General features: G+C 42.1%; 1 protein-coding gene across 6 annotated transcripts in view; it reads right to left on the bottom strand.

Annotated features, from left to right (window-relative positions):
- Positions 1-19,531, bottom strand: part of ZNF410 (zinc finger protein 410) — a 45,663-nt gene that overhangs the window by 13,074 nt on the left and 13,058 nt on the right. For 5 of the 6 annotated variants that reach the window (NR_040251.2, NM_001242924.2, NM_021188.3 and 2 more), the window contains 3 exons: positions 15,338-15,488; positions 14,365-14,546; positions 10,018-10,107 (listed from right to left, as the gene is read on the bottom strand). Coding sequence is in view for 5 of the 6 variants with exons in the window: in NM_001242924.2 (NP_001229853.1) it covers positions 10,018-10,107; positions 14,365-14,546; positions 15,338-15,488 (423 nt within the window). In the remaining variant the exon portion in view is untranslated. The remainder of the gene's footprint in view (positions 1-10,017; positions 10,108-14,364; positions 14,547-15,337; positions 15,489-19,531) is intronic. The other variant, NM_001242928.2, reaches the window with a different exon arrangement.

Below are 19,531 nucleotides of genomic sequence, written 5' to 3'. Positions count from 1 at the left end.
CTACGGGGCAAGGGCTGAAAAACTACCTATCAGGTACTATGTTCACTGCTTGGTCAACAGGGTCATTAGTAGCCCAAACTTCAGCATCTTGGAATATACCCTTGTAACAAACCTGCACATGTACCCCCTGAATCTAAAATAAATTTATTTTAGCCAGGTGCAGTGGTTCACACATGTAATCCCAGCACTTTGGGAGGCCGAGGCGGGCAGATTACTTGAGGTCAGGAGATCAAGACCAGCCCGGCCAACATAGTGAAACCGCATCTCTACAAAAATTAGCTAGGCGTGGTGGCGGGCGCATATAATCCCAGCTGCTTGGGAGGTTGAGGCAGGAGAATTGCTTGAACCCAGGAGGTGGAAGTTGCAGTGAGCCAAGATCATGCCACTGCACTCTAGCCTGAGCCAGAGTGAGACTCTGTCAAAAAAAAAAAAAAAAAAAAAAAAAAAAAAGGCCGGGCACGGTGGCTTACTCCTGTAATCCAGGCACTTTGGGAGGCTGAGGCGGGAGGATCACGAGGTCAGGAGATCAAGACCATCCTGGCTAACACGGTGAAACCCCATCTCTACTAAAAATACAAAAAGGTAGCCGGGCGTGGTGGCGGGCGCCTGTAGTCCCAGCTACTCGGTACGCTGAGGCAGAAGAATGGCGTGAACCGAGGAGGCAGAGCTTGCAGTGAGCCGACATCACGCCACTGCACTCCAGCCTGGGAGACAGCAAGACTCCGTTTAGGGGAAAAAAAAAAAAAAAAAAAAAAAAAAAAGGCCATATGAAATGTCCAGAACAGGCAAATCCAGACACAGAAAGCAGATTAATGGTTGCCAGGGGCTGGAGAAAGAGAGACATGGTCAATGATACTAATAATGGGACTTCTTTTTCTTTTTTTAATCATCTCCTGGATATGGGGATCCTTTTTGGGATGATGAAATGTTGTGGAGTCGGACAGTAGAGAAAACTGTAAAACTATGAATATATAGTTGGCCATCCACATCCATTGATTCAACCAAGCAGATAAAAAATATTCAGAAAAAATAAAAATAAAAAATAACAGGCCAGGCGCAGTGGCTCATGCCTGTAATCCTAGTACTTTGGGAGGCCAAGGCAGGTAGATCACTTGAGGTCAGGAGTTCCAAGACCTGGCCAACATGGTGAAACCCTGTCTCTACTAAAAATATAAAAATTAGCCAGGCACATGCCTGTAATCTCAGCTACTTGGGAGGCTGAGGCAGGAGCATCACTTGAACCCAGGAGGTGGAAGTTTCATTGAGCCAAGATCGTGGACCACTGCACTCCAGCCTGGGCAACAGAGCGAGACTCCATCTAAAAAAATAAATAAATAAAAAATAACAATATAGCAATAAAAAATACAAATAACCAATATAGCATAACTATTCACATAGCATTTACGTTGTATTAGGTACTATCAGTAATCTAGAGATGATTTAAAGCATATGGGAGGATATGTGTAGGTTATATGCAAATACCATGCCATTTTATGTAAGAGACTTGAGTATTTGTGGATTTTGGTATCTGTGGGGTCCTGGAACCTATACACCACAGATAACAAGGGATAATTATATTACTACTAAAAATCACTTAGTTGCACCCTTTTCTTCTTTTTATATTTTAGATGGAGTCTCACTCTGTCACCCAGGCTGGAGTGCAGTGGCATGATCTCGGTTCACTGCAACCTCCCCCTCCCAGGTTCAAGTGATTCTTGCACCTCAGCCTCCTGAGTAGTTGGGATTACAGGCACATGCCACCACACCCAGCTAATTTTTGTATTTTTAGTAGAGATGGGGTTTCACCATGTTGGCCAGGCTGGTTTTGAACTCCTGACCTCAGGTGATCCACCCACCTCGGCCTCCCAAAATGCTGGGATTACAGGCATGAGTCACCATGCCCGGCCGGACTGCACACTTTTTTGAGATGAATCTTATGGTATGTGAACTATATCTCAACTTAAATAACCTGCATTTGCTTGTATATGCAAAAAGAACCACTGGAAAAGTAAACCAAATAGGAAATAAAAAGTGTTTATACCTATAAGAGAAGGAGGGAGGGAACATGGTAAAGAGACACACCTATAATCAAGGCTTTTTGAAAAAGAAACTGAAGCAAATCTACATATCAAGCTGGTGATATATTAAAACAATGATTTAAAGGGTATTTAAACATAGTATTATTCTAAGAACCACAGCTCCAAAAGTCTTAAACTTCATTCTGTAGACAAATTGATAATATTGGTATTATCATTTTGAAACAATATTGTATTAATGTTATGAACCAAGATTTTCGATGTAAGAAAAAAATAAAGTACAAAAAAATCCCCTGAAAATTGTTTAATGTGAAAATTTAAATTGGAATTATCAACATGAACCAATTATTTTCTTTTCAAAAATATGTCTTTAGTTCTTTCCACCGAAAAGTTCTAGAAACAGTAACAACCTTTTTATTTATTTATTTTTTTGAGACGCAGTCTCGCTCTGTTTCCCAGGCTGGAGTGCAGTGGTGCATCTCGGCTCACTGCAGCCTCCACCTCCTGGGTTCGAGAGATCCTCATGCCTCAGCCTTTCAAGTAGCTGGGATTACAGGTGTATGCCACCACACCCAGCTAATTTTTGTATTTTTTTTTTTTTGTAGAAACGGGGCTTCACTGTGTTGCCCAGGCTAGTCTCGAACTCGTGGGCTAAAGTGATCTGCTCGCCTCAGCCTCCCAAAGTGCCAAGATTACAGGCATAAACCACTGCGCCCTGCCAACGATGACAACCTAACAGCAACGGGCACATGGCACCCAGACTGTGGTTCCAACTATAAGGAACCAGGACTCCATGGAGGAATAGCTGATTCCAAGTCCAAGGTAAGCCTGGGAACTGTTGTTGTGTTAGAAAGCAGAGAGGCTATAACAAGACAAATGGGTCATGTCAAAAGCATAAATACAGCATGAGAAGCTCCAAAAATAACAACCAGGCCAGGCACGGTGGCTCGTACCTATAATCCCAGTACTTTGGGAAGCCAAGGCAAGTGAATCACTGGAGGCCAAGAGTTCAAGACCAGCCTAACAAGGCAAAACCCCATCTCTACTAAAAAATATGCAAACATTAACAAGACATTGGTGGTGGACGCCTGTAGTGCCAGCTGCTCAAGAAACTGTGGCATGAGAATCACTTGAACCAGGGAGGCCAGTATAATTACCCTCATAGAAAAGCTAAAGATATCACAAGAAAACATTACAGACCAATATCGCTCATGAACATCCAGACTCCTTTTCCTCCTTCCTTTCCACTCTCCCGCCCTCCTTCTCTATCTCTCCCTTCCTCTCATCCTTCCTTCCTTCCCTCCCTCCCTCTCTCTTACTGATTTATTATTTTTTGTAGAGGACAGGTCTCCCTATGCTGCCCAGGCTGGTCCAGAACTCCTAGGCCCAAGCAATCCTCCTGCCTTGGCCTCCCAAAGTGCTGAGATTACAGGCATGAGCCACCACATCCAGCCAGCTGTAAAAATTCTTAACAAATTATGACAAAACCAAGTCTAGCACCACATAAATAGGACTATACACCCTGACCAAATGGGATTTACCCTAGAAACACAAAGTTGGTTTTACATCCAAAAACCAACTACTAGCAGTAAAATTAGTAGCATACAGTACAAAAACAAGATCATCTCAACAGACACACGAAGGTGTTTGACAAGATCCAATACCCATTCATAATAAAAATTCTCAACATACTAGGAAGAGAAGGTAAATTCCTTCATCTGATAAAGGGCATCTATGAAAAAACTACAGCTAACATCAAATTTAATCATGAAAGGCCAGGTGCAGTGGCTCACACCTGTAATCCCAGCACTTTGGGAGGCTGAGGCAGGTGGATCATTTCAGGTCAGAAGTTCGGAACCAGCCTGACCAACATGGTGAAACCCCATCTCTACTAAAAAAAACAAAAATTAGCCAGGCATGGTGGCGAGCGCCTATAATCCCCACTACTCGGAAGGCTGAGGCAGGAGAATCGCTTGAACTCAGGAGGCAGAGGTTGCAGTGAGCCAAGATCACACCACTGCACTCCAGCCTGGGCAACAGAGTAAGACTTTGTCTTAAAAAAAAAAAATTAATCATGAAAGAATACATGCTTTTCCCCTAAGACTGGGAAAAAGACAAGGATACGTACTCTCACCACTTTTTTTTTTTTTGAGACAGATTCTCGCTCTATCACCCAGGCTAGAGTGCAGTGGCGCGATCTCGACTCACTGCAACCTCCACCTCCTGGGTTTAAGCGATTCTCATGCCTCAGCCACCTGAATAGCTGGGATTACAGTCATGAGCTACCACACCTGGATAATTTTGTATTTTTAGTAGAGATGGGGTTTCACCACGTTGGCCAGGCTGGTCTAGAACTCCTGGCCTCAGGTGATCTGCCTGACTCGGCCTCCCAAAGTGCTGGGATTGCAGGTGTGAGCCACTGCGCCCGGCCTCACCACTTCTATTCAACATTGTACTCAAGGTTCTAGCCAGAAAAAGAAAGTAGGCCGGGCACTGTGGCTCATGCCTGTAATCTCAGCACTTTGGGAGGCCAAGGCAGGTGGATTACCTGAGATCAGGAGTTCAAGACCAGCCTGGCCAACATGCTGAAACACTGTCTCTACTAAAAATACAAAATTATCCGGGTATGGTGGCTCACGCGTGTAATCCCAGCTTCTCAGGAGGCTGAGGCAATAGAATCTCTTGAACCCGGGAGGCAGAGGCTGCAGTGAGCCCAGATTACGCCATTGCACTCCAGCCTGGGTGACAGTGGGAGACTCAGTCTCCAAAAAAAAAAAAAAAAAAAGGAAATTAAGGCCAGGTGCAGTGGCTCATGCCTGTCATCCCGACATTGGAAGGCTGAGACAGGAAGACTGCTTGATCCCAGGAGTGTGAAACCAGCCTGGGCAATATGGCAAGACCCTGTCTCTATAACAATTTTTTGAAAAAACTAGCTGGGGGCCAGGCACGGTGGCTCATGCCTGTAATCCCAGCACTTTGGGAGGCCAAGGCGGGCAGATCACTTGAGGTCAGGAGTTCAAGACTAGCCTGGCCAACATGGTGAAAACCCGTCCCTACCAAAAATACAAAAATTAGCTGGGTGTGGTGGTGTATGCCTGTAATCCCAGCTACTTGGGAGGCTGAGCCAGGAGAATCACTTGAACCTGGGAGGTGGAGGTTGCAGTGAGCTGAGATTGCGCCACTGTATTCCAGCCTGGGCAACACAGCGAGACTCAAAAAAAAAGCTGGGCATGTGCCTGTAGTCCCAGCCTCGGGAGACTGATGTGGAAGGACTGCCCAAGCCCAGGTCAAGGCTGCAGTGAACCATGATCATGCCACTGCACTCCAACCTGAGCAACAGAGGGAGACCATGTCTCAAAAAAAAGCAAGAAAGAAAGGAAATTAAAGGCATCTAGCTTGGAAAGGCAGAAGCAAAACTATCTTTACTCTCAGATGACATGATCTTTTATGTAGAAAACACTAAGAAATCTATTTTTTAAAAACTACTAAAACTCAGCCAAGTGTGGTGGCTCATGCCTGTAATCCCAACAACATTTTGGGAGGCCAAGGTGGGAATACCACTTGAGGCCAGGAGTTCAGGACGAGCCCAGGCAACACAAAGACTCCATTTCTACAAAATAATAGAAATTAGCTAGATGTGGTGGTGTGAGCCTGTAGTCCTATTGCAGGAAACTGAGGACTGGAGAGACTGATACGGAGAACAGGAGGATTGTTTATTTTAGGTACGCACCAGCTCAGTGGATTCACATCCAAAAAGCTGAGCATTAAACAAAGACGGAGTGGGGTTTTTGTAAGCGGACTTACAAAAGTAAAACAAAAGCAGTTAATCATGACAGGTCACATACTTTATAGCATAGCATAACTTGTGGCCTTGCATAGCTGGTGACCTTATAGCTGCATTGAAAGAAAAATAAGAACTGGCTAAATACAGACATTTGCAAAACACAGTTATGCTTAAGAAGCCAGGGAAAGGAGTAACAGTAAAGGAATTTGTCTTTCCTTTTTTTTTCCTTCAACCTTGCTCTGGAAGAGGGGGTGTCTGGAGTCCATTCCTTTGGCCTTGGCTTCTCAAACAGCGTTATCTTATAACTGTCCTTGAAGTGAGCTTGCTAGGCAGAGGAAAACTTGTTCTTTTCTTTTTAACCCTTGCCTTGCCTGTTACTTTTCTTGGAGTGAATGAATGCATATTTATTTTTAAATTTCTGCCTCAGTCCCAGCTACTGGGGAGGCTGAGGTGGGAAGATCACTTGTTCCCAGGAGTTCAAAGGCTTCAGTGAGCTATGATGGTGCCACTGCACTCTAGCCTGGGCAATAGAGTGAGACTTTGTCTCTAAAAAAATAAACAGAAAAGAAAAAAAAAAATGGGGTGTAGGAGGAGGGGGAGAACATCAGGATGAATAGCTAATGGATGCTGGGCTTAATATCTAGGTGATGGGATGATCTGTGCAGTAAACCACCATGGGACACCTTTACCTAGGTAACAAACCTGCACATCCTACACATGTACCCCTGAACTAAAAAGCTGGAAGAAAAAAAAAAAAGAAACTACTAAAACTCAAGCATTTACCAAGGTTGCAAGATCAATGTACAAAATTCAATTGTATTTCTATATACTACCAATGAACAACTCAAAAATAAAATCAAGAAAACATTTCATTTGAAATAGCATCAAACATGAAATACTAGAAGTAACTAGAGCATCAATTCCTTATTCTCAAAATTCACAATTAAAAGAATTACATATTTATCCTGTCTTGCCTATGCAAATGATCAAATAGCCCTACTTGATATTAGTGGAAGAGTCCAACTAAAGAGTCGCACAGTACAGAAGAATTCCAACTAATGTGAAAGGAGTAAAGGAATAAGAAAAACCACCATTTTACAATCCTTTATGAAATAAGAGATTCAGGTATCATTTAGGAATGAAATCAAAAGGTGAAAGGTTGGCTGGGTGTGGTGGCACGTGCCTGTAATCCCAGCACTTCGGGAGGCCAAGGCAGGCAGAGCACTTGAGGTCAGGAGTTCAAGACCAGCCTGGCCACATGGTGAAACCGTCTCTAGTAAAAATACAAAAATTAGTCGGGCGTGGTGGCACGCGCCTGTAATACCAGCTACTCGGGTGGCTGAGACGGGAGAATTGCTTGAACCCAGGAGGCGGAGGCTGCAGTGAGCCAAGATCACGCCACTGCACTCTCGCCTGGACAACAGAGTAATACTGTCTCAAAAAAAAAAAAAAAAAAAAGAAAGTGAAAGGTTCATAGGGAACCTTATAATACAGGGATCAGGCCAGCTGAACCCATGGATCAATTTTGACAACCAAGCACTGTGAGCTTCCTGATGTGACACAAAACGAAGCACACAGAACCATCTCTGACATATTCTTGCCCAAAACTTCCAAACTTTGAAGCTTTTAGAGCTTACTTACATTTATAGGAAACGTAGAGAAACAAGTTAAATGACATAAATGGAAGCAAACCAATATATCCAGAATGTGGGCTATTCTATAGGAGTCAACTGACTCTGTTTTGCAACAACTCTATGAAAAAAACAAACAAACAACAACAACAACAACAACTCAATGTAGAAAGATCTAGATTTTTAAAGACTTAATAACCAAATATAATATTGGATCTTGTTGGATCCTGATTTAAACAAACCAACTTTAAAAGACATTTTCGAAACAAGTAGAAAAAACTGAACATGGATTGGTTATAAGATAAAACCAAGGAAATATTAATTTTGACAGGTATAACACCACTGTTGCTATATAAAAAAAAATTTCTCTACTTTGGTGAATCTTTCACATAATCTGACACAGTAAAGTAAAATAAAAACGCTCTACAATCCAAGCAAAACACATCTGAAGTCCACATCTAGCCTACAGGATACCAGTTTGCCACCTCTGCTTAGAACTTGTCATCATATTAAAAAACTGCTCTACTTCTAAGATCTCAACTCTGAAATGTACATCCCTGATTGTTTATAACTCTCCAACTTCCTTGCTCCTGCTGCAGTAGCTTGCTTTCCTCATAAGTAACTTTCCAGTTCCTCCTCTCCACTTGTCATGTTCTGGCTTCCCCTTGTTTCCCACGGCCAGTCATTCAACAATGACCTGATTCCATTCTAGAATCCCTCTCCTCCTTGAGTTCATCTCTTCCTCAGCAAGCCTCTGCTCTGATTAACCTCCATCACCTATTTTCTCCAGTACCCAGCTTTTAAACTGTTAAGCAGTAGCAGAGAAAAGTAATAAAATCTGAACAGGTCTACTAAAAAAAGTTATGCTACTTACTCTCAGCTATGTCCTCATTCACTGTTACTTAGCAATCCTTTTATTCATTCTAATTGGTTCAATCAACAAATTCTAAAAAGCTGTTGTGTGCCAGGAATTTTCTCACCTCCAACAAACTTACAAGGCTAGTCTACAGAGCCCCTCTAGCACTCATCATCCAACATTTTTCTAACCCCTCTTATAAATATGTGAGTCAGCCTGACAACTGGAAAGCCCCCTTTCCCTCCTTATCTTCACTACCACTTTTTTTTTTTTTTTTTTGAGACAGGGTCTCGCCCTGTCACCCAGGCTGCAGTGCAGTGGCGCAATCACAACTCACTGCAGCCTCAACCTCCTGAAACTACCATGCTTTTTTTTTTTTTTTTTTTTGAGACGGAGTTTCGCTCTTGTTGCCCAGGCTGGAGTGCAACGGTGCAATCTCAGCTCATTGCAACCTCTGCCTCCCAGGTTCAAGCAGTTCTCCTGCCTCAGCCTCCCAAGTAGCTGGGATTACAGGCATGTGCCACCATGCCCGGATAATTTTTTATTTTTTTAGTAGGCTAATCTCAGCAGGGTTTCACCATGTTGGTCAGGCTGGTCTCGAACTCCTGACCTCAAGTGATCCACCTGCCTCGGCCTCCCAAAGTGTTGGGATTACAGGCGTGAGCCACCACGCCAGGCCACTACCATGCTTCTGATTATTGATTATTCATCAATAATCCTCACCTGCTGCCTCCATTGCTGTATAACTTTATAGCCAGCCAATCATTTGTGGAGTTGAACAGATTCTTCCACTGGGTCTCTTTCCATGCTCCCTGCCACTACACTGGAGCAGACTTCTTGACCAGACTGAAAAAAAGTCTTCTCATCTCTTCCTGTTTTAGTTTAGCTTCTGCATCACTGCCAGATAAATCTTCAGTAAGCCAAGTTCTCATCAGGTTGTACCTCCAGTAGGCTCCACAAACTCTCCTTCCTGGCATTTTAGGCCCTTCTTAAACTACCTTCCCCATCTTGTTTTCCAAGTAAATCACCATGTCCTACAGGAAAAAAGTCCTTCTAACAAGATACAGGCTTTTCCCTGCGCTGTACCTGACTTCTGGTTGAGAGGATGAGATATATCTGCACAGAGTGAGCAAACTGACAGAATTGCAGGGAATTAATTTAAGGCTCCAAACAGAAAATGGGTCACTAAATCTTACTCCTCTTTTCTCTTCTCCACATCTGCAATGATAAGGTTTGTGGTTCTGTTTGCCAAAGGCATAGTTTCTGCCAAAATGGTGACTCAAGCAGGATCACTAACACCTGCTCAGAAGGCAGTAATATTACTGGTGCTGCTACAACTTATATCAGTCTTTTTACTTTCTTCTGATATGAAATCCTCCCCAAGGATAAAAATGTCAATTCCTAAAGAAGAGGGTCCATGTTTTATGTAACTTATAAAGCACCCAGCAGAGTGCCAAACAAATTTGCTGATCTCTTCAAAAGAAGGCTTTATTAGAAACACAGCTGAAAATAATAATTAGATGTCCCCCCCCCAACCTTGATTATAAGAATTAAGGGCCTTGATTTCTGATTCTGTCATGATGATGAGAAGCTTTCTATCTTTATAGTGAACAGTTTGTTTCTTTTTAGTTGTCTTTATATCACCCCCACAACCCTTTTATTCTTTTGTCTACTTTTCCTAAAATCTATGAATGGCAGAGGTTCTGATACCTGAGTGAACCACCAGATGTTTTCGGAGGCTAGAATACTCAGCAAAGGAACGGCCACATCCTTGGGCTTCACAAAGGAAAGGTTTCTCTCCTAGAGACAGAAAATGAGATAAAGACTCAGTCTTCTGATGAACTGATTACCTGTTACTCTCTTTTCCCACCAACTTTATTCAGAGTCTAATGACTTACCTACTCTGATTTATTTAATTCATGTTATAATTTCAACTGGGCTACCTAGCAAGTGTTGCCTCTCAATGATCTTTTAGTATATATGCCACCAGACAGCCTTGCCCTTTTCCTTGGAATGTAAGCCTATATTTCCTTCTCCCTCCTGGCCCAAGAGCTGGAGAGTTGCATTAACCTACCTTCTTCAGTGACTCCCACCATCTGAGGATATCAAGATTAATACTGTATATGCTGTCAGGATTTTTACCTTACATCAATTTTCTTTATGACTCAGTTTGTAGATCCATCTAAAAGTATAATTTTTTTGGAGAGGAAGTCTCACTATGTTTCCCAGGCTGATCTCAAATTCCTGGGCTCAAGCCTGGGCTACAGAGAGAGAGACCCTGTCTCAAACAAAAAAACAAACAAACAAAAAAGATGCAGTCTCTATCCTCCAAGGGTCACAAACTAGTGTGAGACAGACAAATGAATTCATAAATACAAAAAAAAGTGCTCCGTTGCAGTAATTTTTGTAAGCAGCTGAATTTCTGAGTTCATCTAAAAGATGACAAGGATGGAAGGAAATTTCAGGCACCAGGAATACTGTGAGCAGAGCCTTGAAACAGAGTGCCCGGGGAAAGTTCAGAAAATGGCTAGTAAGGCTGGCACAGTGACAATATGGGAGCTGAGCTTTCTGGGAGGGAACAGCACTGCTAGATTATACTATTCTTTTAGACTGTACCACACAGTTTAATGTTTGAGACTCTCCACCGGTAGCTTTTTTCAATGTTTTAATTGTATACTCATCCCTCAGAATGCTAGGTACTCAAAAAGTTATTGAAAGAATGAGCAATATACTAATATATATAACAGAACAAATGTAAAAAAAAAATTTTAGTAATAACAAGATCAAATGTTTCAAAAGATGAACTAAAGAACTGAAAAAACAAAAAGGATTTAGAAAAAGATTCTACATAAGAATGTAATGGCATGAAATCTCTGCATCAAGCTGGTTAGGGGACATACCTGCCTATTTGGAAACTTGAGAGGATGGTTATTTCACTGGGATAACGGACACAGGAGAAGGAAGAGGTTTAAAAGACAATGCAGCAAAATGGTGAAAAACATGGCCTTTGGGGTCTGTTAATCCAATTCTGACTTCAGATCCTGGCACTACCACTTATTTGCATGGGGAAGGTGTTTAATCTCTCTAAAAATCAGCTTTTCATCTACAATATGGAGATAATACAATTTCAAAAGAGTGTTTTGAGGATTAAATAATACCAGGTAAATATTCAGCATAGTGCCTGGCACATAGTAAGCCCTCATAGTAAGCCACTGAATTAACAGATTTACTTTTTTTTTTTTTTTTCAAGACAGAGTTTCGCTCTTGTTGCCCAGTCTGGAGTACAATGGCACAATCTCCACTCACTGCATCCTCTGTCTCCTGGGTTCAAGCGATTCTCCTGCCTCAGCCTCCCTAGTAGCTGGGATTACAGGCATGTGCCACCATGCCCCAGCTAATTTTTGTATTTTTAGTAGAGATGGGATTTCACCATGTTGGTCAGGCTGGTCTGGAACTCCTGACCTCAGGTGATCCACTCGCCTCGGCCTCCCAAAGTGCTGGGATTACAGGCATGAGCCATTGCACCCAGTCAAAATTTTTTTTTTTGAGATGGAGTCTCGCTCTGTCTCCTAGGATGGAGTGTAGTGGCGCAATCTCGGCTCACTGCAACCTCTAACTCCCGAGTTCAAGCACTTCTCCTGCCTCAGCCTCCCGAGTAACTGGGATTACAGGCACCCATCACCATGCCTGGCTAACTGTATTTTTAGTGGAGATGGGGTTTCACCGTGTTGGCCAAGCTGGTCTCGAACTCTTGCCCTCAAGTGATGTGCTCACCTCAGCCTCCCAAAGTGCTGGGATTACAGGTGTGAGCCACTGGGCCCGACCTGAACTGCAGCTTTACTATCATTACTACTAATAAAGCTTTGAGGTCAATTTTGACATTTGAGATAAACTGAGTTGTCAGCATTTAAAAATAAAATCCTTGGAAGAGCTTTGGGGTCATATCAGAATTCAAATTCCAGCTCTGCCATTTCCTACCTGCATGATGTTGGGCAAGTTACTTCTCTCTCTAATCTTCTGTTCCTTTATCAATAAGTACAGTATCTAATGCATAAAGTTACCTTAAAGATTAAATGAGATAATGTATATGTGGTTGGTACATACTAAAGTGCCTCAACAAATGCTAACTTTTATTATTATATTAATTATTATTGAGATTCAGATCTGTGAGGCATCTAGGGAGAAATAATTAAATAGAGGCCTGAGATTATGACAAGAGAGTACACTGAGTAAAAGAGAAGGAACAAGAAATTCTGAAACTGGTGAAACATTCAGAGATTAACAGAGATAAAAGCTAGAAAGAATTAGAGAAAAAAAAACAACGGGAAAATCAGGTCATATTTTGAAGTAAAAGCATTTTAAGTCTGGGCGTGGTGGTTCACATATATAATCTCAGCACTTTGGGAGGGCAAGGTCGGCGGATCACTTGAGGTCAGGAATTCGAGAACAGCCTGGCCAACATGGCAAAACCCGGTCTCTACAAGAAATACAACAATGTCTGGGCGTGGTGGTGCACACCTGTAATCCCAGCTACTGGGAAGCTGAGGCATGAGAAAAGCTTGAACCCAGGAGGCAGAGGTTGCAGTGAGCTGAGATCGCATCACTGCACTCCAGCCTGGGCGACAGAGTGAGACTCCGTCTCAAAAATAAATAAATAAGAAAAAAGAAAGCATTTTAAGATGATGTTCAGAGGTATCAAATGCTACAACAATGGGCTGGTCTGAAGGTAGTGAGTTATCTCAACTGATGTTCACAGTCAGTTACAGATCAAGTGCCTTGTTTTACTTTTTCCCCTCTTCTCACTACTGCATTTGACTAATTAAAAAAAAAAAGTATAGGCTGGGCACAGTGGCTCAAGCCTGTAATCCCAGCACTTTGGGAGGCTGAGGAGGGCAGATCACGAGGTCAGGAGATCGAGACCATCCTGGCTAACACGGTGAAACTCTGTCTCTACTAAAAATACAAACAAAAAAAATTAGCTAGGCCTGGTGGCGGGTGCCTGTAGTCCCAGCTACTCAGGAGGCTGAGGCAGGAGAATGGCATGAACCCAGGAGGTGGAGCTTGCAGTTAGCCGAGATCTCGCCACTGCACTCCAGCCTGGCAACAGAGCAAGACTCCATCTCAAAAAAAAAAAAAGTATGTGTGTATATATATATATATATATATATATATGTGTGTGTGTGTGTGTGTGTGTGTATATATATGTATGTATGTGTATATATATGTATGTGTATATATGTATGTATATATATGCCTTTTATTTTTATATTTTATATATGCCTTATATTTTTATATATGCATTTTATATATGCCATATATATGCCTTTTAATTTTACCTGCTGTCATTTTGCCAATGCAAGAATCAAGAAGAGTCAAAGTGGCAAGTAAGTGGGGAAGAATAGTTACACATTCTAAGAGTGGTGTGGGTTCAGTGATTATACTTTGGCTAGAGACTAGCTCACGCTGGACCAAGTGGCTTGGAAAATCACCCTTAGACTCTTAGATTAAGAGTCAAGGAATCTTTATTTTGCTCCTGTGATATTAACATACTGTGTGACCCAGAATAATTCACTTCTCTATTCTGTTTCTCACGTTGTGAGGCTCTAACAAGAAAGTCAGGGATTATATCTTATCTTTTGTATTTTTTTCCCACCCTGCCCCATTTAGTGCCTAGAACAGGTTCTGTATGGTTTGTGTGACTCAGTAAATGTTACTGCCCAAAATCATAACTGCGCAGTGTTCAGAAAGATTTGAACACAGACTGATTTTGTCCACATCTCCCCACATCATTGTTGTCTGAGAAGGTCTTACAGCTCTCCCTGCAGGTTAGGCTCCTGAAAACAGAAATCAACACTGTCTACTCTACACACACAGGTAAAAATACAATAAATGTTATTATAAGTGCAACAAGTCATTTGAAAAAGAAATCCCATCTTCAGAGTTCTAGCAACAACCCCAGACCTTCATTTCTATTCCCACTTGAGTCTTTCCTAAGGAGAGGCAAACATGCAGAGCCAAGGAGCAGACTGCCCAAAGGAATGTTGGTGCTGCACACACCTGTGTGGATGCGCCGGTGGTTCTTCAGGTTTCCAGCTGTAGTAAACTGCTTACCACAGCCAGACTCATGGCACATAAAGGGCTTCTCTCCATTGTGGGTCCTCATGTGCACCTTCAGCCTCTGCAGCACATAGAAGCTTTTCCCACAACCTTCTGCAGGACAGATGAAGGAGCGGTCATTTCTGCAAAAATAATCACATAAGGAAAAATATCTGAAAACACTCTTTGCTAGAGATGACAAGTCAAAGCCCCTATTGACTCTCAAGGCAAACAGTAAGTCCAAAAACTGGATATATCAGAATCAACTGAAGACTTTGTTAAAACTATAGCTGGGTGGTGGCTCACGCCTGTAATCCCAGCTACTCTGGAGGCTGAGGCAGGAAGATTACTTGAGCCCAGGAGTTTGAGATCAGCTTGGGCAACATAGCGAGACCCTGTCTTTAAAAAATGTTTTTTTAATTAGCCAGGTGTGGTGGTGCAAGCCTGTAATCCCAAGTGAGGCTGAGGTAGGAAGATGACTTGAGCACAGGAGTTCGAGGCTGCAGTGAGCTATGATGGCGCCACTGTACTCCACCCTGGGTGACAAAGTGAGATCCTGTCTCTTAAACAAAAAAAATCAAACAAAAAACTACAGATGCCTAGCACCACCCCTTAAACTGATCTCATAGGTTCAAGGTAGGAGCCCATGCTTATTTGTTACTTTTAAGTTCTCAAAGGAAATATGTTTTATAATAAAATTTGAGAACTCTTGGTTTAAGGCCTTTAGGTCCCAAATGTCTTATTAAATATTTATCAAGAATGAGATAAATGAGACAATGCAAATCCTTCTATTAAAGAAAAAAAGATATCTTAACCAGAAGTTAACTGGAGTCCCTACTTTCCTGTAATTTGTCAACCTGAGGGGCAAGTTCCTCTGGAAGAATCAACTTTTGCATCAACGTATATCCAAATATGAGATCTCGGATTTGCTCACCGATGAGTCTTGAGGTGGTATTTAAAGTGAGCTGGCCATACAAATGTCCGGTCACAACCTTCAACTGTACACTTGAGCTTCTTTTCCACTTGAGGAAGGGGCCCAGAATCTTTTGACTGCCCATCACCAGAACCAAGGTGGACATTTTCTCCTGTAACAGAGTCACATATTTGTAATCCAGGGAAAGACCCTACTCAGATACTTAGGCTCAAACAATAAAGCTCCTATATTTTACTCCTAGTGATCATTAATCAGGTATCTATCTTCATCTTCCCCAGTTATCTTTGTATGCACTTAACAGCAGAAACTTGGCCAGGCATGGTGCTCACACCTATAATCCCAAGCACTTTGGGAAGCCAAGGTGGGAGGACTGCTTGAGCCCAGGTGTTCCGAGACTAGCATGGGCAACATGGTGAAACCATATCTTTACAAAACACAAACAAACAAACAAACAAAAATTAGACAGGCATGGTGGCGCAGTCCTGTAGTTGAGGCTCCAAGGCTGAGGCAGGAAGATCACTTAAGCCTGGGAGGTTGAGGCTATAGTGAGCTGTGACTGCACCATTGCACTCCAGCCTGGGTGACAGAGCAAGAATCTGTCAAAAAATAAATAAATATAATGAAACAATAGAAATGCAAGTGTTCTACATCCTCATTCCCTTACTCCAGAAAAACTACCAAAAACTATCATGCTTTGTTTCACAAGACTAGGCCTCTTTGACAAATGTAAGAGATATCCAAAATGGTTTGCTATTAGAAATCAGAATTAAAACCATTTTGCATTACACAGTTTGGTGGAGAAGCAGGGATAGCAACACTATCCCTGAGTAGGGTGCTACAAAGATGACAAAGTTCTGAGTAATAAAAACTCTGTATTTTGCTTGTGTCCGGGAGGCGGAGGCTGCAGTGAGCCGAGATTGCACCACTGCACTCCAGTCTGGGCAACAGAGTAAGACCCTGTTTCAAAAACAAACAAACAAAAAATCCCACTGTATTTTAAGAAGAAGTAGTCATTCTGGTTCAGTGTGGGCTCTGACAGCCATTTTTAGATTTCCATCTTCTGAAAGGAATTTGGCTATTTCTTGTCATTCTGCAAACTAAGAACCACCTTCCAATTTCCTGTACCACCCTTCTTTAGTTATAAAATACTTAAGGAATTCAAAAACTCAGATGATTTTTAAATTTCTAACCACATTTTAAAAAGTAAGAGAAAATATCTACTGGAGTTTTGTTCAACAGAATAAAGAGAGGTGAGGAGAGGAGTACAAAGTGCCTCCCTTAAATGTAAACAAAATCAGTTACTTAAAAATTTTTATATAAATTCCAGATTAGCAGGTGGTGGTCCTTTTCTTTCACTTTCTTCAAGAAATACTTGAACATCAATAGAGAAAAAAATTAATAGTCATTTAATTCTGCCATGAGCATATGCAGGCAGTGTATCTTTCCACTATATATACCTTAGCAATAAGATTTGTATCTCCAAATTTCCCCCTCAATAGCCAAAAGTAGAATATATATGTTGTGCCTATCACAGCCCCTAGAACCTGATGGTTAATCAAAGGCAGTTTCTGTCCCATCTATTAATCTTCTCCTTGCTATACTTTACCAAATACTAGTCATAAAACTAATTGCTCCAAGGTCAGAGCAGAACCTAGGATGCTTCCTGCTAGTTACTATTAAGTTTTTCTTTAATATTGCCCCAAGGTTTTTAAAAATGTGTTTACTTGAAAAATATCAGGGCCAGGCGCAGTGGCTCACGCCTGTAATCCCAACACTTTGGGAGGCCGAGGTGGGTGGATCATGAGGTCAGGAGATCCAGACCATCCCGGCTAACACAGTGAAACCCCGTCTCTACTAAAAATACAAAAAAAAAAATTAGCCAGGCATGGTGGCAGGAGCCTGTAGTCCCAGCTACTCGGGAGGCTGAGGCAGGAGAATGGCGTGAACCCAGGAGGTGGAGCTTGCAGTGAGCCGAGATCGCGCCACTGCACTCCAGCCTGGGCGACAGAGCGAGACTCCGTTTCAAAAAAAAAAAAAAAACTACACATATAGCACAAAAATACATATGCCGTGAAGGAATCTTCCCACCAACCCCAGAACTCCAGCTAATTGATTTCTAATGAAAGGTCTGTTAACATCATGCTTTTTTCTTTTAAATTTTTTCTTTTTTTTTTTTTGAGACAGGGTCTCATTTTGTTGCCCAGGCTGGAATCCAGTGGCATGATCTCGGTTCACTGCAGCCTCGACCTCCCCAACTCAGGAGATCCTCCCACCTCAGCCTCCCAAGTAGCTGGGACTAGAGACAGGTGTGCACTACCACACCTGGCTAATTTTTTCTATTTTTTTTTTGTAGAGATGGGGTTTTGCCATGTTGCCCAGGCTGGTCTCCTGAGCTCAACAGATCCACCCGCCTCGGCCACCCAAAGTGCTGGGATTACAGGCATGAGCCACTGCACCGGCCAAAAAAATCATGCTAATACAGTGATTCAAATCAGTGATAGTAGGGGCTTTCTGGATTCCGTTTTATAGATACAATAAGAATATTAATATAATCATAAAATAGGAAAAATGAATACATAGAATAAGGCAAGGCTAAGAAATCACTGAAACTCCTCCTGCTCAAGAATGAAGATTATCAATATATGGTCAAATAAATATAACGCAAATTTTTCCCTAAAAAAAAAAAAAAATCCCTCAGAAAAGAGTGTATTTGAGTTCTATCATGTTGGCCAGGCTGGTCTTGAACTCCTGACCTCCAGTGATCTGCCCACCTTGGCCTCCCAAAGTGCTGGGATTATAGGTGTGAACCACTGCGCCCGGCTGCCGTATGGTTTCTGTTACAACTACTCAGCTTTGCCATAGTAGCAGCCTTAGACAATTTGTAAGTAATGTGGATGCCTATGTTCCCATAAAACTTTAATTATAAAAACAGGTGGGGATTTGGCCCAAAGGCCTTTGCTGATCTGATATACAACATCTTATGCAAAATTAAAACGTTTCTGTATTTCAAACAACTTAGACTGTAAGTGAAGATAACATGCTCTGAAAAACTATGCTAGAGGACTCATAAAGTGACTTCAGTGTCAACAATGACAAAAATATTTATGTTAAAAATGCATTAAAATATTGAATAAAATCACTTCATTACATGTTAGTGCAAGGGTGTCCAATCTTTTGGCTTCCCTGAGCCACACTGAAAGAAGAAATGTCTTGGACCACACATAAAATATACTAATACTAATGACAGCTGGTGAGCTTTAAAAGCAAACAAACAAAAAAATCTCATAATGTTTTAAGAAAGTTTACGAATTTGTGTTGGGCTGCATTCAAAGGTATCCTGGGCCACACGTGCCCACAGGCCGTATGTTGGACAAGCTTGTGTTAGTGGGTGAAAGCAATATTGATATATTTCATATGATTTAAAATGTATATGTGGGACCACGCACGGTGGCTCACGCATGTAATCCCAGCACTGCGGGAGGCAGAGGCAGGCAGATCACCTTGGGTCAGGAGTTTGAGACCAGCCATGGCCAACACGGTGAAACCCTGTGTCTACTAGAAATACAAAAATTAGCTGGGCATGGTGGCATGCACATGTAGTCCCAGCTACTCGGGAGGCTGAGGCAGAGAATCACTTGAGCCCAGGAGGCAGAGTTTGCAGTGAGCCGAGATTGCGCCGCTGCACTCCAGCCTGGGCGACAGACTGAGACTCGGTCTCAAAAAAAAAAAAAAAATTAAAATGTGTATGTATAACCAAAATCATAAAGCTTCCAAATAGCAACCTATAATGTTAATTTTATCTACATGCTTAAAAGTTTACATAACTAAGTTAGAAAAAAATAAAAGGCTTTTAGGGTATTATCTTGTTGGAAAATAAAAGATTGTCTTATATTTGGGGTGATTTTTTTTTTTTTTGGGAGACCAAGTTTCGCTCTTGTTGCCCAGGCTGGAGTGCAGTGGTGCGATCTCCACTCACTGCAACCTCCACCTCCCGGGTTCAAGCAGTTCTGTCTCAGCCTTCCTGAGTAGCTGGGATTACATGCATGCGCCACCACGCCCAGCTAATTTTGTATTTTTAGTAGAGACGGGATTTCTCCACGTTGGTCAGGCTGGTCTCGAATTCCTGACCTCAGATGATCTGCCTGCCTCGGCCTCCCAAAGTGCAGGGATTACAGGCATGAGCCACAATGCCCA

Source organism: Homo sapiens, chromosome 14, assembly GCF_000001405.40.
Source record: "Homo sapiens chromosome 14, GRCh38.p14 Primary Assembly".
Taxonomy (NCBI): Eukaryota; Metazoa; Chordata; class Mammalia; order Primates; family Hominidae; genus Homo; species Homo sapiens.
Note: the sequence above shows the minus strand (reverse complement) of the source record. Positions and strands in the feature narration are given on the sequence as shown.